This window comes from Homo sapiens, chromosome 6 (assembly GCF_000001405.40).
Source record: "Homo sapiens chromosome 6, GRCh38.p14 Primary Assembly".
Taxonomy (NCBI): domain Eukaryota; kingdom Metazoa; phylum Chordata; class Mammalia; order Primates; family Hominidae; genus Homo; species Homo sapiens.
Window position 1 is genome coordinate 87,471,450 of NC_000006.12, and position 27,277 is coordinate 87,498,726.

Consider the following 27,277-nt stretch of genomic DNA (forward strand, 5'->3'; position numbering starts at 1 on the left):
TATATGATATAATATTTTTAATTTTTAAAATTAATTTCACGTACATATATGAATATTGTTTAAATGTATGCATAAGTACATACACAGTAGAGAACTGAATAATTCTACTAGTGGAAACTGTATCAATTACAATAAGGGAAGATTAGCACCAGTGAGCACACTTACTACCAGGTAGAGGAAAAGTCCAACACTATTGCAAAATGAGATTAATCAAATGTCTGCCTCTACAAAGTCAACTCTGGTCTCCTGGGAGCCCCTCCCAATATTAATATGATGCTAATAAGGCATGCAAAATGTTCCAACAATGTTAACAGACCAGATATATCTATATGTATATTTAACAAGACAATGGTATACAACCAACCCTCTAAAAGGACAATTTTGGGGAAAGAACATGCTGCAGAAGGTGTGGGCTGCTGGGCAGCTCAGAATCTTGCATCCCTATTCCTGTAAGTGCTGAGGTATTTTCATATTATTTTAAACCAATCCACATATCTTGAACATCATTTATTTCACCAATGAATTATTTCTAATATCAATTATGATAGCTAATTAACATCCCCTAGTGAAAGTGGAGATTATAGTGGTTAAAATGCCTGTTGATATATCTAATTTTTTTTGTTTTTTGAGACGAAGTCTCGCTGTGTCGCCCAGGCTGGAGTGCAGGGGCGCAATCTCGGCTCACTGCAATCTCCCGGGTTCAAGTGATTCTCCCGCTTCGGCCTCCTGAGTAGCTGGGATTACCGGTGCGCGCCACCACGCCCGGCTAATTTTTTGTATTTTTAGTAAAGACGGGGTTTCGCCATATTGGCCAGGCTGGTCTCGAACTCCTGACCTTAGGTGATCCATCTGCCTCGACTTCCCAAAGTGCTGGGATTACAGGCGTGAGCCACCACGCCCGGCCGATACATCTGATTTTTTAAAGGCCGTTTTGTTGTGCGAAGATCATTAGTTAGAATGCCTGGCTGGGTAAATACAACCGATGACTGCTGACGATATGGAACAGGCACAAGACTTCTGAACGATATGTAGAATAAATTATAACTTATCTAGAACACAAGGTAACAGTGGAAGATAATGAGCCAGGTGGAAGTTACAAATGTTGCCGCAAGTAGTTTCTGTTACTTTACGAGTTCTGGGAGCTTCTCTAACAGCTTTGACAGGAGTGAATCCCCAAGGCTAAACCCAAATCCTTATTTGCCGCCTACTCACGCCTTTGTGAGGACTACGATTCCCAGACGGCAACGCTCCCTTCACTCAACTTCCTTAGCTGGCGGGGAGACGCAGTTTACAGAACTACCTCCCCAACCGAATTTCACACACCTGTCACCTAGGACGCGGCCGGGAAGGCCTCCCTTCGATCCGCGTTCTCCCCATTTTGGGGTGTAGCTTGGATTCCTGAGCCCAGTTTTAGTGCGTGGCCGACCGGGAGGCCGGCGAGGCGCTCTAGGCCGAGCGGCTTCGTCTCTATGACCACAAGGGGCGGTCCCCGGTGTCCTGCGCGGGGGCGCGGAGGGGGCGGGCGTCAGTTCCGCGGGGGGCTGTCGGGGAACCATGGCTGCCCCGAGAGGTGAGAACTGGGTCTGCTGGGAGTGGGGAGTCCGCGGGGGGCGGCGGCGGGCGAGCATCTGCGCTGGTCAGCCCCTGTCGGGCAGCGGAGCACCCTGGTTGCCCAGTGCCTCTGGGGCCTGGCTGAGGCGTCAGGAGTTTGCGTGGAGCCGCTCCCGGCAGTCAGGGCAGCCTGCCTTCCGCTGCGGCTGCAGTCTCCGCGGCTGACTCCGCGCTGGGCAGGTCGGAGTCAGAGACCGCACTGACCTCCACTAGCTGGGAGTGGGTGGGAACCGAATTCTGACAGGCCGGGGCTGCGGCGGACCCGGAGAGAGGCCAGGGCGTGGGTCCGGGGCTGGACCGCATTACCCAGCGAGGCAGGACAGTTCTTCACCCTGGCCCCGCGGCTCCGGTCTCCTCTGCGCCTCCTACCCTGTGGATGCTCAGAGGCTTAAAGGCAGGCTCCGGGCGCAGATCCCATGCGGCGGCTGGGCCATGCAACAACCACTAAAGACATCACTGGGGCGTCAAAACAGCACTGAAATCGTAACGAAAGGAAGATAACAGTCGTTAACAGTTCCCACCTGTATGCTGTGTGTAATTATAGAGAATGCTGTATGCTGCTATTTGGGGTGGAAGCTGAGATCCACCTCCCTCCTCCTGAGGGATGGCACATTCGGGTGAAGGCGTATTTGTTGACTAATTGACATTTAAGGAGGGCGAGTCTAATTGACTCCGCACCACTTTTTGCTGAGCAGTGTGTGTAAGTTGGGACCAGAGGTGGATTCTTTGACTGTGGTGCATTAACCAGGAGAAGTTGGGCAACACCCGGATTCTTGCTCCACCCTTCCTCCATAGAGCACTTGGCTTCACCCTTGAATAAATATTGAACGAATACATAAGGAATATCTTCTTGCGTGGGTTTCAAGTTATTTTCCCTGTTGCGGGGTCCATGTTTCTCATCAGGCCCTGCCCAGGGGCATTGTCTTTAGTTGCATATGCTTCTCTTATGTCTTCTTTCTGTTTCATTTCAAATAAGTCCAATCTTAAAAGCCTTTTTTTGTAGCAACACAGGAAATAAAAGAAAAAGAAATAGAATTGTTTTGATAACTAAAATGGAATGGGGATAGCAAAATTGATCCGAACGAAAACTTATAAATTACAGAAGTCAAATCATTACTTGAAATAGCTGCAACAATGTAAAGGTTTAGGCTTATTGCCAATACATATTTGTTGAGCCTTGATTGTAATCCTAACAAAACTACAGTTTCCATAGTTTCCGAATATCCACAAAGGATTTATCTGGGACTTACAGAATTTCTAAGTTCTTAAGTATTACAAATAATGTCCCCATAAACTATAGTAAAACATAACCGAAAAAAAACATTTTAAACTGTAAGTTTCTTTTGGGGGACATTTCCACACAAACACTATATGGGAGCTAATAGAATTTCGTGAGAAGCAGGGAACAATGCAGGGTTAAGATGTGGCTGCCAGTTGAGTTGTGGGCTAGCTTTATAGTTACTGGCATTGGGTGTGATTTGAATTATTTGCCCAATTTGAAGTGATTACATATGGACTTTTGCTGTTACCCTGAAATAATTGAAATTGCTAATAACTGAAGTTTTATACTGGAGAATTTGTGAATGGAGTGAACAAGAAATAGTTTGGTCTGATGTTAAACTGCCAGAGAAAATCGTACTTAAAAACATTTAGTATTTAAAAGTTGAAATACGTTTAAAAACTGGTATTCCATGTCAAAGCCCAATCTGTTTTGCACATACCTAAACTTATTTGATTACCCTTCCACTTAGATCAGTAGTTATTTTCAAGAATATAATATATATTCCCATATACTCACTATGCAAAAAGGTATTTTTTCAAGTTAATGACAATATTATAAGTCAGAATATGTTTGTAGGCTATCAATATTTGGTTTAGTGTTTAAATATTCACTTTGTTGTTTTTGGAATCAGGAACCTGTACAGTAGCTAAAATAAAGTACTTTTTAGTTTATCAGCCCTAACTTCTCTTATTTATGAAAGTGTTGATAATCTAGGACATGAGATGGCAAACTTTTCCTGTGAAGGGCTGGATAGTCTCTTGTCATAACTACTCAGATCTGCTGTTGTAGGGAAAAAAAAGTAGCCTGGATAATTTAGAAACAAATGAGCATGGCTATGTTCTAATAAAACTATTCATGGACACTAGAATTTGAATTTCCTGCAATTTTCACATATCACAAGATGTTATTACATTTTTTATCAACCATTTAAAAATGTAAAACAATCGTGAGTTCACAGGCCTCATGTAAACTGGCGACATATATAGTTTGTTCACCCTTTATCTAGAAGATGGGAAGTGCCTTCTCTTCTACTGATTAAAGGTTATTGCTGTATATTTTTGAAGTCATATTTCTTCCCTTGTGTAGGAAAGTTTTAGAACAAAGGAAGTATTATAGTGATCTCCTTCACTTCCTTTTATATAAACACTGATTTTTTGGCTCCTCAGATCTTTTGGAAAGAAAGTTTAAGCAGTTAAAAACTATTTCTTCTGTTTTACTTTTTATTTAAAACCTGATATGGTTTTTAAAAATTGCCTACAATTCAGAAAATATTCTTTAATGCACTCGGGAAAATATTTATATTGAAGAACCTGTTTCCTTGTAAGATCCAACCATACTGTATCTAAAGATAATCTGTTTGAAACTCCTGTTTTATTTCCCTATGAAAACTATCTTTGAATTGTGATTAGGCTCCCAAAGCAGTGAACAAAATCTTACTTAGCATATAATGTAGTTAAAGTAGCAGGCTGGAGTCACCTGGTGTCCTTCTGGTTCTTAACCTGGAGTTGTCAAAGTATGGCTCTGGAAAGCCTAAAATATTTGTTTCTGGCCCTTTGCAGAAAAATTTGCTGATCCCTGTTTAACCTTGAGCCTAAAGATTTGAATGGAGGTGAAGGGGAACTGGGGGACAATAGGTGGGAGGTGGGTGAGGAAAGTAGAAATAGTTTGATCCTTGGGTGATGGCAGTACCCGAGCAGGTCTGGGAATAAGGAAGTATGAGGGAGACTTGGTACCCACTGCTTATGGTTTTACCAAAGGTCTTGGACAGGCTCTGGTGCCTGAGAGATGGCTGCTGCTCAGATATACTTGCAGGCAATTCTTAAATTAAGTGTTTATATGTTTCCTGCATTTCTAGTTTTATAGAGGTGTGTTCTTAATATTCTTTTCCTGTGTTATGAATTATTGTTTTGTATAATGCAATGAAATGAGTGGCTAGTTGTAAGTTCTTATTGTGAAAAAGTTTTATATTAAGCCCCACTCATTTCTCAATTATTATTTTCTTTCTGCTGCCTTTAAATCTAGAATATACATTGCTGCAGTTGGTTTCATGCTTTGCATCCACAAGTTTGTAATCATAAAAATATTTAAAATATGTGCTGGGGCCAGGCGTGGTGGCTAATGCCTGTAATCCCAGCAGTTTGGGAGGCCGAGGTGGGTGGATCACCTGAGGTCAGGAGTTCGAGACCAGCCTGGCCAACATGGTGAAACCTCTTCCCTACTAAAAATACAAAAATTAGCTGGGTGTAGTGGCGGGTGCCTGTAATCCCAGCTGCTCAGGAGGCTAAGGCAGGAGAATTGCTTGAACCCGGGAGGTGGAGTTTGCAGTGAGCCGAGATCACGTCAAGATCATGCCACTGCACTCCAGCCTGGGTGACAGAGTGAGACCCTGTCCTAAAATATATGTCTGGCACGGTGGCTCACACCTGTAATTCCAGCACTTCAGGAGGCGGAGGTGGGCGGATCACTTGAGGTCAGGAGTTAGACACCAGCCTGGCCAACATGGGGAAACCCCATCTCTACTAAAAATGCAAAAAATTAGCTGGCTGTGGTAGTGCACGCCTGTAGTCCCGGGAGGCTGAGGCACGAGAATCGCTTGAACCTGGGAGGTGGAGGTTGCAGTGAGCTGAGATCGCGCCACTGTATTCCAACCTGGGGGACAGAGTGAGACCTTGTCTCCAAAAAAACCCACCACCACCACCAATATATATATAATGTAATTTATAACATCCTGAACTAGAATCAGTACGCTACATAGTCTTGCAATTGGGGCACTCCCTAGGAACAAAACTTATGCCTAATTGGCTGATGTTTAAAGTCAGCTGTGGTGTGTGTGTGTGTGTGTGTGTGTGCACGCTCATGTAATTGGCAAACATTGTTTTGAAAAAAATTTTTAAGCATGAGTTTTAGAAAATATTTTGTGCTTGGAATTGGAAAGTATTTTTAGGCTATAACTAGTTTATTAACTTATATATACATATATTGTCTACTAAGTAATGTCTTTGTTGCACGTATTTTCCAGACAATGTCACTTTATTATTCAAGTTATACTGCTTGGCAGTGATGACCCTGATGGCTGCAGTCTATACCATAGCTTTAAGATACACAAGGACATCAGACAAAGAACTCTACTTTTCAACCACAGCCGTGTGTATCACAGAAGTTATAAAGTTATTGCTAAGTGTGGGAATTTTAGCTAAGTGAGTATAAATACTTATAGTGTGTTAAATTATTTTTCTACCTGGTGAGGGTATTTGTTAGAAAATTCAAGCTACATCTTTATATGTTTAATTGCTCTGGGTCAGTGTTTCTCAACTAGGGGTGATTTTGCCCCCCAGAAGATTTTTTAGTTGTCACAACTTGAGAGATGCTACTGGCATCTAGTGGGTGGAGACCAAGGATGCTGCTAAACATCCTGCAATCCCCATGACAGCCTCACAACAAAGATTTATCCAGCCCCAAATGTCAGTACTGCTGAGGTTGAAGAACGCTGCTGTAGAATAGAAGTTGGCAAACTATGTCTCATGGGCCAAATCCAGCTTGCTCCCTGGTTTTGGTGTAATGGAGACTGACTGGCTTGCAAAGCCTAAAATATTTACTGTTTGGCCCTTACAGAAAACAATTATTGACTTGTGTTTTGGATGAATATAATAATAATAACATTTCTTGAGTGTTTCCTATGTTAAGTGCTAGGCACTGTGCTATGTGTTTTTTGTGTTTTCTCATTTACTTCTTCCACATTTTCAAGGTAAGTACTTTACCCCTGTTTTATTGACGCAGCATCTGAGGTTCCTTAAGATTACACTGTTAATATGTGGCAGCACCGGGCTTTGAATCAAAAACATCATGCAAGAATTGTTTAGCTAAGGATGTGGTATAAGAGAGGGTTAAGAATTAGGGGCATTGGAGGAGATAGACCTAATTTTAATCCTAGACTGAGATTGTGGCTGCATACACACTTGTAACCTCTTTAAGCTTCAGTTTGTTCATTTTTTTAATTTGAGAAAATAATATGGGGTGCTGAAAATTAAATAAAATCTAATAGGTAAATTACCAGGGGAAAGATTTATGAGATGGGGACCTATAGGAGTCATTGGGGCAGTTAAGAAGTCATACAGGTTTCAAGATGTGTGTTGGTGAGTGAAGGGAAGCAGGGAGGAATAGTGTTGTGTGTAGGCTTTTATGTAGAAACAGACATTACATTTAAATATTGAAATGTTACACGACATTGTGATTGCTTCAGCTTCAGCAGTGTGTGATGAGACAGTTGATAATGCAACTGCAAGCATGGCTATCATTTTGGGAAAGATACCGAGTGAAAGTGTTGAAAATTGGTTCTAGATCTTGAAAAGGCTTATACTAATCCACTTGAAGTAGTTCGAATATGAAAAATATGTGTTATAAATAAAGTTTCAGTGCCACACACAAAAAAACAGCACTCGAATACAAAATTTTCTTTTTTTCTTCTCAGCAAGGCAGTTTTCCTTCTATAGAAGGGTGTGCCCTCACAGATGGAGCAATGGTGAGCGCACACCTGGACAAGGGAGGAAAAGGGGACTTATTCCTTATGCACGTGGCCTCTATGGCTCTGTCGTTCCCCTATTGGCTAGGGTTAGACTGCACAGGCTAAACTAATTCCAGTTGGCTAATTTAAAGAGAGTGATGGGATGAGTGGTTTGGCGGGAAAAATGGTTATGGCAGAGCAGGAAATCGGAATGAGTCAGGGTGGAGAGGGTAATCAGAAAAGGTTGCTTTACGAGGAAGTTAAATTTAAAAGTAGAAGGCAAAGAATTGAACATACTGACATACTGATTCTTCGAAGAGAAATTTAGAACTCATATCTAACAATCCCCTCCTCTTGCATTTTCCTTACACCTCTTTCTCTTCAAACTTCTTTAACATGCCTTGGCTTAGTTCTGCTCAATTTTCCGAAAGAAGAAGCTTCTCTGGATAAGGTGGAGGATAGTTAAGGGAGGTTTTAGTAAGTGCCATTTCTATGAGCACTTACTCTGCACCAACCCACAGATGCATGGTATGACACAGCACCCGACAAGAATAAGTACACCCATTACAGCTGTGAGGGAAGTAAGAATTGAGGCTGTTATTCCTTTCCATTTACCGAACCACTTTTCTAGCCATCCTGTAAAGGGGTCATTTACCCCTGAGCTGCTGGCTAACTCATTGGACAGAGCAGTCAGACCTTGCAATGCCTTTGTTATACTTCCATTAGGGGCAGTGTTGTTTGGGATGAAGGCACAACATTCAGTTTTAATCATGATGCAAACTCCTCCTCTTTCTGCTAATATCATGTCTAAGGCTATCCTATTTTCCCAAGCCATCTGGCAGTTAGTCCCTAATTGCTCAGCTATTCCTTTAACAGCATCTCTAGTGTAGTTCATAAATTGCTGTTGGTTATAATAGATGTAGTTTATCCAATCTATGTTTTTATTAATTGTGACCCACCAAAATATTGACTCAAATCCTGCAGCTATTTGATTTCGGGCTTTAAATTGATCTGGTATTCCCCGTGGGACTCCAATTGCATCTAAATAGACATGAGAGTTGAATGACCTATAAGGAGCTTCTCTCACTTTATGATGTCTTATTTTTCCTTCCTCTGGTTGATGAAATGCCAGAGTAAAAGGGATAGCCAATTGAACTAGAGCATAACTACTGCTCTAATTATTTGGCAGAGTGTCCAGTAAAGGTCCTCCATAATACCACCATACATCCGCTCAGGGATGAATAAGGGCAGATTGACGGGTCACCTCTTGGAAGTGCCTAACTTCACTGCATCCTGTTAAGTCTCCAAGAAATGCCAAATTTTTCCCCGTGTCGTTAGAGACACGAGGTAAAATTGGTTTTGGAAGATGGAGGCTGGATGGCCCTTGGGGGCTGACCTGCAGGGTGTTGGACTTCAGGAAATAGCAGAGAAAGAGCTTAGCACAATTTGTTATTCCAGGCAGTAGAATCTTGAAAAAGCTACCATGCACTCCATGTCCACTTGATTTGAGGACCATCCCAGTGGAAAGGTAACAACCTGGGCCTCTAGCCTACCGTGCACACAAGTGTAACAGTTACTTTTGTTTAAAGTGTGAATGGAATATTTAATACATTTTAACCAGGCATTTACATCTTTATACCCTGTCAATAGCTATGGTTTGCCTTAGGTCTCCTATTTCTACTACTGAGACCTTGCTTTTGTCATTTGGCATGAGGCGAGGCATAGTTTTATTTCGTAGGTTTGTGAAAGGGGCAGTTGTAGGAGGTAGAGCAGGGAGAACAAAGCGCATCTTAAAGAAGCCTATAGGGTCCTTTCCAGTGACTTCTGCTCCTAAACCATAGAAACGCTCTAAAGTGGGGTTAGAGTTGCTAGTGGTAGGAACAGTAATGGATATAGGCACTGTGTTAGGAAAGGAAGGAAAAGATAGATAGACTAAGCTTTTCTTAGCTTTAATTTGGTAAGGCTTGATCCAGGAACAATGGTCCATGATTCTGATGGTAATGGTGCTTGCTTGACTCGGGTGTGATGTGTCCATCCCCCTTCTGTGGTACAAACCATAGTCTTGGTGGTTAGCAGCACAAGGTAGGGTCCTTCTCAGGCTGGCTTGAGTTTTCCTTCTTTCTACCCTTTGATGAGGGTGTGATCCCCAGGCTAGTGCCCGTTTACCAGAAATTCTAGGGGTGGTACCTGTGCTAAAAGACTTGTAGTTTTGAGGGAAAGGAAAGTGGAAGATAAACCAAGTATATAATTTATGAGAAACTGATCTTTTGTTTTAAATTTGGGGACACCAGGCTGGGCGCGGTGGCTCATGCCTGTAATCCCAGCACTTTGGGAGGCCGAGGCGGGTGGATCACCTGAGGTCAGGAGTTTCAAGACCAGCCTGGCCAACATGGAGAAACCTTGTCTCTACTAAAAAATACAAAATTAGCCAGGCTTGGTGGCACATGCCTGTAATCCCAGCTACTTGGGAGGCTGAGGCAGGAGAATCGCTTGAACCTGGGAGGCGGAGGTTGTGGTGAGCCGAGATCGCGCCATTGCACTCTAGCCTGGGCAACAAGAGCGAAACTCTGACTCAAAAAAAAAAAAAAAAATTGGGGGACACCAGCAGTGGACTTTATAGTCCTTAGTGCCTTCTTCCTGAGAAACTTCCTTTAGAAACTTCCTGAGAAACCTATTTTTATTAGTTTTTAGACCAAAGAAAGCCAAACACCATTTTATATTTGACAGTGCTTCCTGTATGATTATACCAGATAAGCTAAATTTCACCTTTATATTAGTGTATTATTAATATTAAACTCAATTTTAATAAAACCCTGTAGACATATTTATCCGATTTTAATGTCTGACCATAAGGTAAGATTTCCATAGACTCTTTTTAACCTTTTATAAAATTTGTTAAAGAGCAGTTTAGTGTTTTTTAGTGTTTTAAGAAAAACCCATTGTGCTTTTATTTTAATGTCCAGTTCACAGAAAAACTGGATGATACCCCTTTAACTTTAGCCAATATGGTTACACACAGAATTTCCTTTACAATTAACATTTTAAAACTTGCTTAAACGCTCAAAACAAAATTTTTTTTAACCTTTTAATGTAGGTAAAAATCCACATTCTATGCCTCCTTATTATCCTTTTACCAAAAGTATATTTTACTTTCATTATACACCTTGCACATAAACTGTTTCTTCAATAGTTTTACATTCAGGAGGCCTAATTACTTTTAAATTATACAACATTTCTTGCATAAGTTCCCTTTTATAGCATTTTTCATGACTTTCGCAATCTTCGACAGGCCTCAATTTTCTGACTTCCTGTAAACATCGCTTTCTTTAAATAACCAGTTAATTTATTTTAGGATAATAATTTACCATATAACATTCTTTTTATATAAATTCTCCCCCCCCTCCTTTTTTTTCCCCCAAGATGATAACCATTCTTTTCCAAAGCAAACTTCCTTCAGGTCTGTGGACTAGACTGCCTAAGGCCACAAGATTAGAAGTTAGGATAATACATATTACACTGCTAACTTTTGGCAAACTTTACCTTTGTGGAAAACCTTGTAAGTTTGGTATTTCAATTATCCTTTGCTATTAATAAGACTTTCTTTAGTTTAAATTAACTTAGAATTGGTATAGACCACTCCTTCCTGATTCTGTAAGTACTTTAAGGCTTAGCTGAGTGCAAACAGCTTACCAACTATTAGGCAATTTTCCTAACTCTACTTCTATAAGAGTTTCCCTATCACTTACTGAATACCCGTTGTGGCTTTTTCCCTCAGTCACACGGGAGGAACCATCTATCGTCCTGTCCTGAAGGGAGTTCCTTCTAGGTCTGGTCGGACCTTTATATGGTAATTAATTAAGATTTAGATCCCCTGTGAGGAAACCTGCTGGGTTAAGGGAATTATCAGTGGTTAATGTTAAATCATCTTTTTCTAACAGAATAGCCCCATACTTTAAGATTTTTGAGTTAGTAAGTTACCTTTTTGTCTTAGGATACTTCTGAACTGGGTGAGGTGTGCTCACAATGAGGTTTCCTCTAAAAGTTATTTTTCTACTTTCTTCTGTTAGCAAAGCAGTTGCCGGTACAGATTGAATGCATTTGGGTCATCTGCGGGTTACTGGGTTAAGGATTTTTGATAGGAAGGCTATGGGTCGTCAGTGATCTCAGTGCTTTCAGGCTGTGCCCTTGTTTACACTGACAACAAGGTGGTATTGGAGTGTTATAGAGTCACGGAGAAGACCTTCAATTATCAATTATAGGTTTTAAATTTACCCTAGCTTTTAAAGGAATAGGGTACACTGTTTTTATTACTTCTCTCTGTCTCTCTCTCTCTCTTTCTCTCTCTCTGACTCTCTGTCTCTTTCTCTTTCTCTCTCTCTCTCTGACTTCCTTTCCCAGTTTCTCTTTCCTCTCTGCTGGTCTTTCCCTGCCTCTGCCAGCCGCTTATGCTGCTGTTCTTCCCTCTCCTCCTTCCCCTAGGGGAGCGACCAGTGGGAGTGGAGTTTAGCCTTTCTTTCCCCCGAGAAGAAGCGAAAGGGGAGTTCTGAATATTTTTCTTACTACTGGAGGTTTCTGTGAGGTTCAGCCCCCCACAATGGGGATTTCTCACCTCACTGAGGTTCAATGTACCCCTATTGGGATTTTTCACCTCTTTTGAGGTTCAACCCCTCGTAATGGGGATTTCTCAGTTCTTTGAGGTTCAGCCCCTGAAATTAGCGGAAGGCTCAACCCATCAAACCAGGGGTGTCTTCCCTCGCCTGTCCTGGAAGACTCAACCCCTCAAACCAGGGATGTCTTGCCTTGCCTGCCGTGGAAGGCTCAACCCCTCAAACCAGGGATGTCTTGCCTTGCCTGCTCCGGAAGCCTCAACCCCTCAAACCAGGGTGTCTTGACTTGCCTATCCTGGGAGGTTGACATGTTTCCTCCCCTTTCCCCCTCTGAAGGTCCCTTGCACACTTCCCACTCATGTTGTCCTCTCTGGCTGCTCCCCCAAGGGAGAATTAGGCCCTTCTTAGTGTTGGCGTGCTGGTATAAATCCCACAGCAGGATCCGCCCTAAGCCATACGAGGTAGCTGTGGAACTGCAGAGAGGACGCACTCACTCCATCCAGCAGTAGGACTTGTCACCATCCACACAACACCACAAGCAGGGTTGTCTGTGATCATTCACGCACACACACATTCAGCCCTCCAGACTTTGACCACCAAGGAAGTACTTTACTGGCTCCCGTGGTTTCTTCTTCATTGGTCTGTGCACAGTCATTGCTGTGGTATGTGAGGATCCTTTACCTCAGGTTGCCAGCCGGTTTGGTTTCTTTCTGTGTTGCTGAGAGCTCGGGTTATTCCTTGCACTGGGCGGGTCCTGATTTCTCACCCCTGAGGACGCCACAAGGGGGCGGGGTGCACCTCCTCACAAGAGAGAACCAGAGACCGCCTCTGGAGGGGAATGTAATCCCAGATGAGCCCCTAAATTGTTATAAAGTTTTGGTGCTGCAAAAGAAATAGCACTCGAATATAAAATTTTCTTTTTTTCTTCCCAGCAAGGCAGTTTCCTTCTATAGAAGGGTACACCCTCACAGTTGGAGCAGTGGTGAGCACACACTTGGACAAGGGAGGAAAAGGGGGTCTTATTCCTGATGCACGTGGCCCCTGCTGCTGTGTCATTCACCTATTGGCTAGGGTTAGACCGCACAGGCTAAACTAATTCCGATTGGCTAATTTAAAGAGAGTAACGGGGTGAGTGGTTTGGCAGGAAAAATGGTTATGGCAGAGTAAGAAATCAGAATGAGTCAGGATGGAGAATGAACAGGTAATCTGAATGAATCAGGGTGGAGCAGGTAATTGGAATTAGGGTGGAGCAGGTAATCGGAATGAGTCAGGGTGGAGTAGGTAATCAGAATGAGTCAGAGTGGAGAGGGTAATCGGAAAAGGTGCTTTACAAAGAAGTTAAGTTTAAAAGTAGAAGGCAAAGAATTGAACGTACTGACATGCTGATTCTTTGAAGAGAAATTTAGAACTCGTATCTAACAGATGAATAAAATACATGGCCAGACTGTGGGCCATTAAGAGTGATATGAACAGTTAAGAGGAGCAGCAAATCAAAGGGCCTAGAGCTTTATAATGGTCTTTTAGATTTAGTGTTTGCAAAAAAGTAAAATATTTTCCAGGTACTCTGAGTGTTGTCAATTCTTTGTACACATATTAAAATTGGTAATTCAAAAAGAGTAAGTAGATGAAAGGCAAACAGGATGTTATCTAGTCTGTTAAAACACAGGTTGGATGTCAGTGTTTTATTTGCTGTGATGGAGAGGCTTCTAAATATCAGAAAATAATTGTTACAAAAAATGTTATGAGATGATTTGTTATATGCACAGGAAACCAAAGTTGATTCATGTTTGAATTTATATTTGCTTGAAAATTCTTTTCCCATGTAATGTTAAAATAATTGTGTAGAGCTAAAAAAATGAAATTAGACTTTTTTCTTTGCTTTCAAATCAAGGAAGACTTTATCATCTCACAGAAAGGATGACAATTTCAGGATATTATGGGAGGCTGTGGAAGAATTATATTAGAAATAACTAAAGGTTTAGAACTTGAACTTTCTCTTCAGAGGAGAAAAATTAAGAAGAACTTAGATCTTGGCCAGGTGTGGTGGCTCACACCTGTAATCCCAGCAGTTTAGAGGCCAAGGTAGGAGGATTTCTTGAGCCCAGGAGTTGGAGACCAGCCTGTCAACATGGTGAGACTCCATCTCTACAAAAAATAAAAAAATTAGCTGGGTGTAGTGGTGTGTGGCTGTAGTCACAGCTACCTGGGAGGCTAAGGTGGGAGGATTGCTTGAGCCTGCGAGGACCTGCAGTGAGCCATGATTGTACCACTGTACTCTAGCCTGGGCAACAGAGCAAAACTCTGTCTCAGAAAAAGAAAAAAAAAAATTAGAAGAACTTAGATCCTGATGATTAAAATAGTGTATTTCCCCCATATTTCCAGAAAAATACTGCAGAGTTAGTGTAAAAATTAGTAACATTTGCTCAATGTTGATTTGAGTTTTCTGGAGAATGAATACAGGGAAAGGAAAAGAAATTACTATTTAAATGGAAAAAAATTAAACTTCATTTAAAACTATGATTAAATGAAGTAAAAGCTTCTTCCTTTTTGCCCATTCTTTACACTGTGATAAAGTACAATAACTTTATAGGGTTGATACAAAGTATTATACTAGAACTTCAATTTTTTTGGAACTGTGCAAAGCTTAATCTCATTATAGAGCAGTCCATTTGGTGGTTTGTTTATTTAGTATGGTCTCTGATGCTGTTTGCTCAGTAATGTTCTTTGCTTAGTGAATAGTCTTGGCTAATTGTTAAAGTACATATATTATACGGGAGTGGGAGGTGGGGGCAGAAACTTATCGAAGTAGCACCTGAAACCATGTTTTGGTTATAATTAAGGTTCACTTAGATAATAACATACCACTGCCATATTCAAATCTGTGTTTCATTCCTTCCAAACATTGGAAGCAAATAGTCATTCTAAGTTGTTTCAAGGTATTGTTAATAAGATATAATGGGACAGTCAGGTTCACGCATTCATTTATTTAGTTAGAAAATACCTATCAAACCTCAATTATATACTCAACACTATTCTAGTGTTTTCACTAGAACACTGCAAATTAAAAAGGTGTAGTTCTGCCCTCATGGACTTATAGTCTGTTGGAGAACCAAATATTATAATAAATAATAAATAGGTGATGTTATGAGGGAAAAGTAGAGGGTGCTACAAACATGCATGATAGAGGGCCTGCATTTGGATTAAAGGGTTTCCTCTCTGAGGAAGTTACGTTTAAACCTAGACCTGTCAATTGAGTAGACTTTAGGCAAGAAAAGAGCAGAGAGGAGGCAGAGAACTGCGTGTTTGAAATCCCTGAGGCAGAAAAGTCCTTGACTTTGGTGCTGAGATGAAGCAGGAGAGGTCATCAGGGTATCACAGTAGTAGTATGGACCTGTTAAGGATTTTAGATTTAATCTGAAGTGCATTAGAAAAATCATTGAGTGGAGCCAGGTGCGGTGGCTCACACCTATAATCTCAGCACTTTGGGAGGCTGAGGCAGGTGGATCACTTGAGGTCAGGAGTTCAAGACCAGCCTGGCCAACATGGTAAAACCCCATCTCTACTAAAAATACAAAAATTAGCTGGGCGTGGTGGCACATGCCTGTATTCTAGCTACTTGGGAGGCTGAGGCAGGAGAATTGCTTGAACTTGGGAGGCAGAGGTTGTAGTGAGCTGAGATCACACCACTGCACTCCAGCCTGGGTGACAGAGCAAGACTCCGTCTCAAAAGAAAAAAAAGAAAAAGAAAGTCATTAAATGGTTTAAGTGAGGGACTAACATAGAACCCATGTTGAGAGTCACTTTGACCTCTTTGAGAATGAATTAGAAGTAGGGAAACAATAGAGGCAAGAGATAATCAGCTAGGATGACAGCACAGGTCACGAAGAGAAGTTAATGGATTTGAGTTATGCTCTGGCAGTAGAATCTGTAGGACTTCGTGATGGGTTTGGATAACCTGCTCCTAGGGGATATACAGGGTAGTTTCCTGTGAGCAACTGATCACATTTTTGTCAATTAATCAATACAATAACCTTGTTTTGTGTGTGCTTCAATCTAAAGACACTTTATTTAATGTACATTATTGATTAATTAGCATTGAACTCATGGCCAACAGCACTATAACATGCCTGAACAAAGCTTATCTATCACATGTATTTTCTCCATAATATATAGCATATCCTTCTTATACTTAGGAACATCAGACAGTGCGTCAGCCCTACAATGCTTGGGAGCCATTTAAACAAAATCACCAACACAAAGCACAAAAATGCAAAAAATGTGGTACTGAATAGATTGCACTTGTTTATGATCTGAAAGCGGAAACAAGGCAGAATGTTAACTTGTTCAGCGTCAGCCAGGAATGTGCACACTTGGTGAATCAAATTTTTTGCCACTCTGCACATGTCTGCCAATGACTGCAAGTGTTACCAGCATTGATTTGGGGGTTACAGATACATTTTAATGAGTGGAGAATTCACACGTACAGTCCATGAATAATAATAATCAACTATAGTAGGGGAAGGAAAGGGAGGTATCAGGAAGCATATCTGTGTTTCCTAGTATAAACAATTGGGTAGAGTTATTATTATTTTTGTTTTTTGAAACAGGAAAAACAGATTTGGGGGAAAAAGATATCAACAGTTTGATTTTGGGTAGGTATAATTTAAAGTTTTTAATGTCTTGAGACATCCAAATGGGCAGTTGGATTAAATGGGTCTGGAACTCAGAAGAGAGGTCTGGGCTAGAGATATAAATTTGGGAGTTCTTATCACATAAAAGTATTTAATCTCATGGAATTGGAAGACATTGTTAAAAAACAATGATCGTGTAAAAACAATCTTATTTGTAATGTCATTTGACTCCATGTACCTTAAAGATTGCTGTTTTCTGGACAGGATAACCAGAAACCCCAGGACTAATATAAAGAGGAACACATGATAGGTGTGCTCTGTTTAGAGAAATGGAAGGCAGCTTGTTTAAGAAACAACAAAGGAGTGCTTGCTTTGGCAGCACATAATACTAAAAATTTGGACAGTACAGAGAAGATAGCATGGCCCCTGTGCAAGGATGACATGCAGATTTGTAAAGCATTCCACATTCAAAAAACAAAGGAGTCAGTCTGGTACTGAGGCAGTGCCCTAGAACTTTGTAAGAGTTAAATTAAGCAGGCCAGGGTAGGTATAACTCAATCAAGTGTGCAAATTAGAATCTTCAGGTCCCAAGAATTTAAGCAGAGGCAATTGTAGCTCCATGGATTGTTCTTGGTGAGGTTTTGGAGATCTGAAGTCTAGTCACACTCACTTCATGTGTAAGAACTTTGAGCCTGGAAAGGGACTAATTCATACAATCTCTGACTAAAAATTTTGTGTGACCAAATGGATCAGCAAGGTTCCAGATCCATGTTTTAAATGAAATGCCAGTCTCTTTTTCAGAATTTGAGGTGGTAGAGAGGTTCTATAACCAGGTAGTCCTTTTTGGACAGAACCCATGATGGCAATCTAGGTCAAAGGGCTGAGACCCCATTGTCTTTTGTTCTTTCTCTTGCCTTTAATGCCTTCCTTAGGGTAGCTGTAGATGGGTTGCATGCCATGAGGCATGGATATCCTAACATTCACATTAGTATGGTAAAAGTTTTGTAGGCTGAAGGGTATAACTGGTTTGCTAAAACATTGGAAGACAATAGCTTAATTCTAATTCCAAATATTTTCTTTGTCCTGGTTATATGCTGTGGCTTGGATGTGATTTGTCTCCACCAAAACTTATATTGAAATTCTATCCCCAGTGTGGTGATGTTGGGAGGCGGGGTCTAGTGGGAGGTGTTTAGGTTGTGGGGGCAAATTCCTCATGAATGGTTTGGTACTGTTTTCCTGGTAGTGAGCTGTGGCTCTCAAGAGACAGGATTAGTTCTTGCAGGAATTGATTATTTCTCGGGAGTGGGTTATAAAGCCAGGATGCTCCTCATGTTTTGCTCTCTTCACACGTGTCCACCTCCCCTTAGACCTTCTCTGCCATGTGATGCAGCAGGAAAGCCCTCGAAGAAGCCAGGGCCATGCCCTTGAACTTCTCAGCCTGCTCAACTGTGAGCTTTTTTTTTTTTTTTTTTTTTTTGTAGATGGAGTCTTGCTCTGTCATCCAGGCTGGAGTGCAGTGGCGCAATCTCGGCTTACTGCAACCTCCGCCTCCAAGGTTCAAGCGATTCTCCTGCCTCAGTCTCCTGACTAGCTGGGACTACAGGCATGTGCCACCACGCCTGGCTAATTTTTATATTTCTAGTAGAGACAGGGTTTCACCATATTGGTCAGACTGGTCTTGAACTCCTGACCTTGTGATCTGCCTGCCTCAGCTTCCCAAAGTGCTGGTGAGCCACCGCGCCTGGCCAAATTTTTTTTTTTTTTTTTTAATACCAGTCTCAGGTATTCTTTCACAGCAACGCAAAGCAGACAAAGACAGTATTTAACATATTTAAAAGAGAACTCTATTAAACATTGTAAATGCACACTGGGTGTAGTGGCTCACACCTGTAATCACAGCACTTTGGGAGGCCGAGGTGGGTGGATTGCTTGAGGCCAGGGGTTAAAGACCAGCTTGGGCAACATGGCAAAACCTCATCTCTACAGAAAATACAAAAATTAGCTGGGTGTGGTGGTGTGCACCTTTAGTCCCAGCTACTTCAGGGGCTGAGGCAGGAGGATCGCTTGAACCTGGGAGGTGGAGGCTGCAGTGAGCTGAGATTGTACCACTGTACTCTAGCTTGGGGGATAAAGTGAGCTCCTGTCTCAAAAAAAAATTATAAATGCAATTTACTTGAAAATTTTAGGATATTTAACTTCTTAGAAGAAATACAGACTTGCTTCAGTGAAGGGTGCCTGATATATATTGTCATCATTTTTTTTTTTTTTTTGAGATGGAGTTTTGCTCTGTTACCCAGGCTGGTGTACAGTGGCGTGATTTCGGCTCACTGCAGCCTCCGTCTCCTGGGTGCAAGTGATTCTCCTGCCTCAGCCTCCTGAGCAACTGGGACAACAGGTACACACCACCATGCCCAGCTAATTTTTGTATTTTTTGTAGAGATGGGGTTTCACCATGTTGGCCAGGCTGGTCTCGAACTCCTGACCTCATGATCCACCTGCCTCGGCCTCCCAATGTAATTTTTATTTGAAAAAAAGGAAAAAGATATTTCTTTCACGTTGGGGTAAAAGAACAGAAGGCAACGGTGCATATGTTGCTGTGGTCTCCAAGAAAACTAGGCAAAAAATATGAGGAAAGCACTGAAAGTGTATTATTGCTATAAATTTAAAATGCCCTAGAAAAGCCAAAGAAAAGAATAATGCCCCCTTTTGGGACTTTGAAAAGTATTTTTGAAAACCTCATGAGTAGATGTCTTCTTTAGAGAGCAGGTAGCTATACTCTGTAGAATACCAACTAGTAATCATTGTCAAAATGTGTTATGTAAAATGCCACACATCCTCCTTTAAGATTATATTTGCTGCCTTCAGTTATTCAGAATTGTTGCTATTGAGAATGGCAGGCTGCCAGAGGGTGAAAGTGTTAAGGAAACACTCTTTGATGTCCAGCCTTAGAAACAGGTGAGGGAAACAAGCTGGTAAATACAGCTTATTTTCATTTCATTCTTGTACATGTTGACTAACCCTTATCCAAAGTGCTTGGGACCAGAAGTGTTTCAGATTTCAGGATTTTTAGGATTCTGAAATATTTGCATTATATTAATTTGATACGAGCATCCCAAATCTGAAAACCTGAAATCCAAAGGGCTCTAATGAGCATTTCCTTTGAATGTCATGTTGGCATTCAAAAAGTTTTAGGTTTTGGAACATTTCAGATTTTGAATTTTCAGATTTGGGCTACTCAACCTTTATCTTCATTTTGGCTGAAACTATTATTTCCTCTTCTTTGATGAGAAATCTTAGGCTGAGGGAAATTTTAATTTGCCAAAGGAACCTAGAAAGTAATTGACAATGACAGGATTAGAAGACAAGTTTCTTGAACTCTGATTTTCAAATTATGAGTCTTTCAGAAAAATGAAGTAATTAAGTATTTTTGATTAAGACAAAGATAAGCACAGTGGCGTTGTTAGACATTTCAGTAGTTTACAATAATTTTTTCTCTTAACTTTTTATTTCCAAATGTTAACACTTTGCCATGTGTCTTCTTCATTCAGGTGGCTCTATAATAAAATACCATAGACCAGTTGGCTCAAGCAACATTTATTTCTTACATTTTTGGAGGCTGGAAAGTCCAGGATCAAGATGCTGGCAGATTAGGTGTCTGGTGAGGGCCCTCTTCCTAGTTTGCCGACTGCTGCCTTTTTGCTGTATCTTCATGTGATGGAGAGAGAGATGGCTCTGGCCTTTTCCTCTTCTTATAAGGCACTAATTCCATCATGAGGACTCTACCCTCATCACCTCACTAAACCTAAGACCCTTCTCCAAATACTAATCACATTTGTGGATTAGGGCTTCAACATATGAATTTTAAGGGGTAACACATTTAGCCCATAGCACATTACACATACAACAAAACATTTTTGTTTTATGACATTCTTCTATTTGTGTGAACATGTATAGAATTTTTTTCTGATTTGTTTTAGAGTAAGATTTAGACAAGATGCTTCTTTGTCCCTAACGTTCTTCAGTGCATGTTTCCTAAAAACAAGGACATTCTCTTATATATAATCAATAAAATTATCGAAATTGAGACATCAGTACTGATATAGTACTATTACCTAATTCACGGACCTTATATAAATTTTTCCAATTGCCCTCCAATGTCCTTTATAGCAAAATAGTTATTTTTCTTGGACTTCAGTCCTGTCCAGGATTACAGTTTGCTTTTAATTGTCATGTCTCTAGTTTCTTTTAATCTAGAGAGTTCCTCCATCTTTTTTTTTCATGTCATTGATATTAACACAGGCCATTTAATTTGTAGAATCTCTCAAATTATGTTTATTGAGTTTTATGATTAAATTTAGGGTTTTTTTGGGTCAGGGATATCATAGAAATGATGCGTCCCTTTTAGTGCAGTATATAAAGATGTACGTGGTATCTATTTGTTCCATTACTGGTAATTTATCTTGATTTTTTTTTTTTTTTTTTTGAGTTGGAGTTTCACTCTTGTTGCCCAGGCTGGAGTGCAATGGCATGATCTCAGCTGACTGCAACCTCCGCCTCCTGGGTTCAAGCAATTCTCCTGCCTCAGCCTCCCAAGTAGGATTGGGATTACAGGGATGCACCACCACACCCGGCTAATTTTTGTATTTTTAGTAGAGATGGGGTTTCACCATGTTTGCTAGGCTTGTCTTGAACTCCTGACCTCAGGCGATGCACCCAGCTTGGCCTCCCAAAGTGCTGAGATTACAGGTGCGAGCCACCACACCTGGCCTAATCCTGGTTTCTTGATTAAGGTAGTGCCTGCTAGGTTTCTCCACATAAAGTTACCAGTTTTCTCTTTGTTATTAACAAGTGTCTTTTGGAGAGATACTTTGAGACGAGATAAATATTCTCTTTCTCATCACACTTTCACCTACTGGTTTTGTGGTCTGATACTGTTGTCAAATGATAACTTCCTGATACTTCATCATTACCTATACATTTATTGGCATTCTACTCTAGAAATTTCCCTTCTTCCCCCCTTTCTCTCCCTCTTTGTATTTATGTGAACATGGACTCAAGGATTATTTTATTGTGCAGGTTAGAATCCATTATTATCATTATTTTGATGCTCAAAATGTCCCAGATTTGCACAGTGGGATTAAACAGTTTCTTTTTAGCATATCTTGTTACAGGCTTTTCTTGTACTTTCCCTGCCCCAACCCTGAAATCATACATTTCTTCAAGGATCCTTTATTCCTTTTTTTTCCAGAATGGTATTTGGAAACCAGAATCTAGGCATTTGGTATACACATTGATACTGGAGTATCATTACTTTAGACCCTTTTAGCAGAGCTATGAAATATATATGCATGTGTATGCATAGACACCTATCTAAATCTAGTTGTGTGTGTGTGTGTGTGTGTATAACAAAGAGTTCTACATTGATTGATACCACAATTTTGATCTAACATCACTGTGTTCATTCTAAACTTCTCCTTACCCATGTTTGTTCCCTTATCTAATGGTGAGGATTCTAGCTCCCATTATGCTCAAGATGTTTACTTATTTGCTCAATCCTAGAATAGATAAGGAGTAGTTTCAGAATTTCTAATATTTACCTGAGAAAAAAACAAACTACTAACTGAAGTATGTATTTGTATGTAGTTCTCTTTGTTTTAGTTTTACAGCATACAGTAAAATACTGTGTTTTAGAATATTTGAGTTCTCTTTTTCTCCAAGTATAATTTTGTAGACAGTTGTTTTTGGCTTCTGTTTGTATTTAACTTGAGATTCCCCCATCCTTGTTGATTATACTTACAACACCCTGGAAGTTTTGGCATGTGAAATTATACTTATTTCAATAAGAAGTTAGAACTGGAAAAGAAAAAGGGAGTGTGGGAAGGAATTAATGGATGGCTACTTTGATAGATAAGGTTGACGTGGTCAAAGTAGTAAATGTTATGTGCAAGAGATTGCTGGGCCTTGTGTGTGATGTACACTGTACCCCACTTTCCTTTTTTTTTTTTTAACACAAGTATTTTACCTTAGAGGTGGTTTTATGTCAGTACATAGAAATCTATCTCATTCTTTTTAAAAGCTGCATGGTATTCCATTATGTATAGATACCATATATACCAGTCTGTACTGATGGGCATTTGGGTTGTCTCCAGTCTTCTACTCCAACACAAAGATGTAATAATTATCTTTGTACATACACTGTTGTGCATATGAATTATTATATCAGATAACTTTTAAATTAAAAGAGAAATTAGTAAATTCTGTTTTGAGGGAGGGGCAGATTAGCAGTTGGATATTGCGAAAGCTGTACATGTAAATAAGGTGATTTTTTTTAAATATTTGAATTTTTTTTTTTTTTTTTTGAGACAGAGTCTCGCTCTGTTGCCCAGGCTGGAGTGCAGTGGTGTGATCTCAGCTCATTGCAAGCTCCGCCTCCTGGGTTCATGCCATTCTTCTGCCTCAGCCTCGCGAGGAGCTGGGACTACAGGTGCCTGCCACCACGCCTGGCTATTTTTTTTTGTATTTTTTAGTAGAGACGGGGTTTCACTGTGTTAGCCAGAATGGCCTCGATCTCCTGACCTCATGATCCGCCTGCCTCAGCCTCCCAAAGTGCTGGGATTACAGGCATGGGCCACTGCACCCGGCCAAATATTTGAATTTTAAGTTATCAATTTCTAAGCTATAATTTGGTTGAAAGATAAACAATACAACATTTAAAAGTACTTTTTCATAAAATTAATTACTGCTGCAATTCACGGGAAAATTGTTATAATGCTTTACTAGACTCTATCACAGCTGTTAACACTAACAGTTTAGATTTAAACCTGTCATTGTTAGTATAAAGAAAAGGAAGTGAAAACACTTTCATATTGCCTTGGAACAAAGGAACAAAGTCAACTTTTTTTTTTTGAGACAGGGTATCACTCTGTCACCCAGGCTGGAGTGCAGTAGCGTGATCTTGACTTGCTGCAACCATCGCTTCCTGGGCTCAAGCAATCCTTCTGCCTCAGCCTCCCCAGTAGCTGGGATTATAGGTGCGTAGCACCACACCCAGCTAATTTTGTAGACATGGGGTTTCGCCATGTTGTCCAGGCTGGTCTCAAATTCCTGGACTCAAGCAATCCGTCTGCCATGGCCTCCCAGCATGCTGGGATTATAGGTGTGAGCCGCTGCGCCAGCTCAAACAACTTTTTATTGTTTGCTATTCACCATAGTTTATAAAGACTATCCCTAGCAGGATGTGTAAATGTTAATGTACATACACTTTGGGTGTGTTTAGTAACAAACCAAATATATCTTAACTTTGAACTACATACCCATATTAAGACCAGAGAAAATTATTCTACTGTTTCATAGTATTATCTAGAGAAATTAATGTATCTGTCAAATACTTATAGATTATCCAGCTTTGTTTATTTCTCCTTCTGGGTTTACATTTTCAGTACCCTTTTGTACCCATGCTATAATGGGTTCAGGGTGTTGGGGAGGAAGTAAAAATCATGTCCCTCATATGAAGGGTATTTTTGTCCTCAAATTGACCTCATTATTGGTTTTTTAACCTAGCCCCTCAAAGTCTTTTTTTTTTTTTCTTTTTTGAGACAGAGTCTAGCTCTGTCGCCCAGGCTGGAGTGCAGTGGTGCGATCTTGGCTCACTGCAAGCTGTGCCTCCCGGGTTCATGCCATCCTCCTGCCTCAGCCTCCCGAGTAGCTGGGACTACAGGTGCATGCCACCACGCCCGGCTAATTTTTTGTATTTTTAGTAGAGACAGGGTTTCACCGTGTAAATCAGGATGGTCTCGATCTCCTGACCTTGTGATCCGCCCACCTCAACCTCCCAGAGTGCTGGGATTAGAGGCGTGAGCCACCGTGCCTGGCCAATCAAAGTCTTTTTAGGTGAGTTAATTATACTTAACTTTGTAGATGATAAGAAATTTATAAACAAAATTTAACTTTCTTAAGCTCATGAGTAACTTCTGCTGTGTTCCATTTTGCACAGTGACTTGGTAACCTAGCCAAGGATTTTATGCCTCCTAGTAGTTCTTGTTAGATCAGTAGCTGGAAGAATGAGGCCTACTTTTGACCAAACAGAGGTCAGAAAGAATGGTTTCAGCTGGTTGATAGGAAATTTAGTGGGAGAGGCAGCAGCAGAATCTCTCTGCAGTCAACATGGAGCTTCAGAATTTCTTCAGGTAACCAAAGGTTGCACAGGGTCTATTCCAATGATAAAAATAAAAAGAATTGTTCAAATAGAAAATTTAACAAGGAAGACTATATCTAAAAAGAAATTTAATATATGTTTTTGATTATATACGCTCTTTTGTCCTAGCTAGCAGTGTCATTTATATAATTAATAAATTTGTTTTTAACAGAGGTGCTCATTAAGGTGCTTGTGATTTGATTTCTAAGAAAGTAAGTTGAGGGCCAGGCGTGGTGGCTTACGCCTGTAATCCAGCACTTTGGGAGGCCGAGGTGGGTGGATCACTTGGTCAGGAGTTCAAGACCAGCCTGGCCAACATGATGAAAAACCCCATCTCTACTAAAAATACAAAAAATTAGCCAGGTGTGGTGGTGTGCACCTGTACTCCCACTTACTTGGGAGGCTGAAGCAGGAGAATCACTTGAACCCAGGAGGTGGAGGTTGCAGTGAGCCGAGATCACACCACTGCACTCTAGCCTGGGTGACATGGCTAGACTCCATCTCAAAAAAAAAAAAAAAGAAAAACCCACCAAAACAGAAAATATAAGTTCCGGAAAATGGAAGAAAAAGTAACCTTTTTACAATATATTACAGTATATTTAGGACTGATCATTTGTTTCTATCTCTTTCATAGTAAAACAAAACGATGATTACTAGTGTTTTCTAGCAGATATATTGCTCTTGTTACTTTTATGTAACTTCAGTGAGTAAAGCTAAATATAAGATTAAGAGCTGTATTCTTAATAAATACATTAACTTAAGCAGGATTTAACCTGATTAATACTGAAATTATTTACCCTCTTCTTTAAAACTTTCTGTGTGGTGAGATTCCCACATATTCTTTCCAATACCTCCTAAATCTCCTCTACTTTCTGATACTTTTCTGTTATTCTCTTTTACTAGTTCTTTTAGCATCCTCTGTTTTTTTTTGTAACTTATTTCAAAATATCTTATGTAACATTGCTATAATCTTTGGTACTACAGTGATATTTGCACTTTCCAGCAATTAACATTCTGGTATACCTTGGTTTCTCTAATGTCTACATTAGAGAAGGAACCAGAAAAAGATACCTTGGCCATCCTGACCGTGAAAAAATAGCTCCTAAGCATCCAACAAAAAGGATATGGCCAAAAGAGACAGATCTGAAGGTTAATCCTGACGCACTGTACTTTACTTTTTGCTCCACTGAAGGAAAGGAATACTCAGATTGGCTGCTAATTTGTTTCATAAGCCCTTCTTTTTATGTGAAAAGTGAGGGAGAAGTGATAAGAAAGAAAAGAGTGGGGAGAAAAGGGACCACAGCAGCCTTTATTGGTGCAGGTATCGTGATTATTTGGAGTAGCAGTTGGATCCTTAAGTAGCCCATATTCTGACAGGACAAAGAGAATCAGCCCTGTTTTTTGGAGAGTCAAAAGGTCGTTTGTTACCAGTGAAGGCTTCTAATGTCTTATTTTTTTCTTTTTTTTAAAAGAGATGGTATCTTACTCTTTCACCCAGGCTGGAGTGCAGTGGTGGCATCATAGCTCACTGTAGCTTCAAACTCCTGGGCTCAAGTGATGCTCCCACCTCAGCCTCCTGCGTAGCTGGGATGATAGGCATGTGCCACCACTCCTGGCAGTTTTTTTTTTTTTTTTAAGAGAAGGGATTTTCCTCTGTTACTTGGGCTGGTCTCCAACTCCTGGCCTCAAGTGATCCTCTTGCCTTAGCCTCCTGAGTAGCTGGGATACAGGTGTGAGCCACCACACCCACCAAGGCTATAATATATTTAACAGGTGGAGGTAAAGTGGCATTGCCCATAGCTGGGGATTAGGGAAAGGATAAATAGCCATTATATTGTAGCTTTTGAGGGTTTAGCATGAAGAATCTTACACCAGGAGATAAATGAATATGGGAGAAGGTGGAGTGTGAAGCATGGGCACAAACAGCCACCTCTCAGCAGTTCCTTCTGGGTATCACCTTAAAGACACATCATCAGTGTATGAGTCAGCATTTTAGAAGGGCACTAAAACTTGCACTTCATACAGTCTGTAAAATTTATATCTATGCTATCATGATACTAGAGATAATTATAATGTTCAGTTATCTTCTCTGATACATCACCTTATTAAGGTGATTATTTTACATTTTAATCTCTTTTTCTCTAATTTTTTCATCAGTTTTATAATTGAGGAGAAAACATTTTGAAAATTATTCTTTATACTCTATTTAAGATGTTGGCCAGGTGCAGTGGCTCATGCCTGTAATTCCAGCACTTTGGGAGGCCGAGGCAGGAGGATCACTTAAGGTCAGGAGTTTGAGACCAGCCTGCCAACATGGAAACCCCGTCTCTACCAAAAATACAAAAATAAGCCGGGCGTAGTGGCCTGTGCATGTAGTCCCAGCTACTCAGGAGGCTGAGGTAGGAGAATCCATGAACCTGGGAGATGGAGGTTGCAGTGAGCCGAGATTGC

At 40.6% G+C, this 27,277-nt stretch overlaps 1 protein-coding gene, 1 long non-coding RNA gene and 1 pseudogene across 3 annotated transcripts in view, besides 5 other annotated features; 2 read left to right on the forward strand and 1 right to left on the reverse strand.

The window, feature by feature from the left end:
- LOC124901357 (uncharacterized) lies at positions 1 to 1,496 on the reverse strand. The gene is made up of 2 exons (XR_007059668.1): positions 1,324 to 1,496; positions 1 to 1,049 (listed from the first exon to the last, which is right to left on the reverse strand). It is a non-coding gene; the product is annotated as an uncharacterized LOC124901357 (long non-coding RNA).
- Positions 1,172 to 2,078: an enhancer, noted in NCBI's record as "H3K27ac-H3K4me1 hESC enhancer chr6:88182339-88183245 (GRCh37/hg19 assembly coordinates)". NCBI's record gives its function as "activates a minimal SCP1, AML or CMV promoter by ChIP-STARR-seq in naive and primed H9 embryonic stem cells {active_cell/tissue: H9 hESC(naive and primed)}" and the evidence as "EXISTENCE:reporter gene assay evidence [ECO:0000049][PMID:30033119]".
- Positions 1,484 to 1,623: a silencer, noted in NCBI's record as "silent region_17374". NCBI's record gives its function as "represses an Ori minimal core promoter by ATAC-STARR-seq in GM12878 lymphoblastoid cells {active_cell/tissue: GM12878}" and the evidence as "EXISTENCE:reporter gene assay evidence [ECO:0000049][PMID:35858748]".
- Positions 1,525 to 27,277, forward strand: part of SLC35A1 (solute carrier family 35 member A1) — a 39,363-nt gene continuing 13,610 nt past the window's right edge. For both annotated transcript variants that reach the window (NM_006416.5, NM_001168398.2), the window contains exons 1-2: positions 1,525 to 1,570; positions 5,913 to 6,090. In NM_006416.5, the coding sequence (NP_006407.1) occupies positions 1,555 to 1,570; positions 5,913 to 6,090 (194 nt within the window). In that variant the 5' untranslated portion in view covers positions 1,525 to 1,554. The remainder of the gene's footprint in view (positions 1,571 to 5,912; positions 6,091 to 27,277) is intronic.
- Positions 2,074 to 2,243: an enhancer, noted in NCBI's record as "active region_24795". NCBI's record gives its function as "activates an Ori minimal core promoter by ATAC-STARR-seq in GM12878 lymphoblastoid cells {active_cell/tissue: GM12878}" and the evidence as "EXISTENCE:reporter gene assay evidence [ECO:0000049][PMID:35858748]".
- Positions 2,294 to 2,393: an enhancer, noted in NCBI's record as "active region_24796". NCBI's record gives its function as "activates an Ori minimal core promoter by ATAC-STARR-seq in GM12878 lymphoblastoid cells {active_cell/tissue: GM12878}" and the evidence as "EXISTENCE:reporter gene assay evidence [ECO:0000049][PMID:35858748]".
- Positions 12,583 to 13,782: an enhancer, noted in NCBI's record as "P300/CBP strongly-dependent group 1 enhancer chr6:88193750-88194949 (GRCh37/hg19 assembly coordinates)". NCBI's record gives its function as "activates an origin of replication core promoter dependent on BRD2, BRD4, P300/CBP, MED14 and CDK7 cofactors, with strong dependence on P300/CBP, by STARR-seq in HCT116 cells {active_cell/tissue: HCT116}" and the evidence as "EXISTENCE:reporter gene assay evidence [ECO:0000049][PMID:35650434]".
- RNU6-444P (RNA, U6 small nuclear 444, pseudogene) lies at positions 16,996 to 17,103 on the forward strand (annotated as a pseudogene).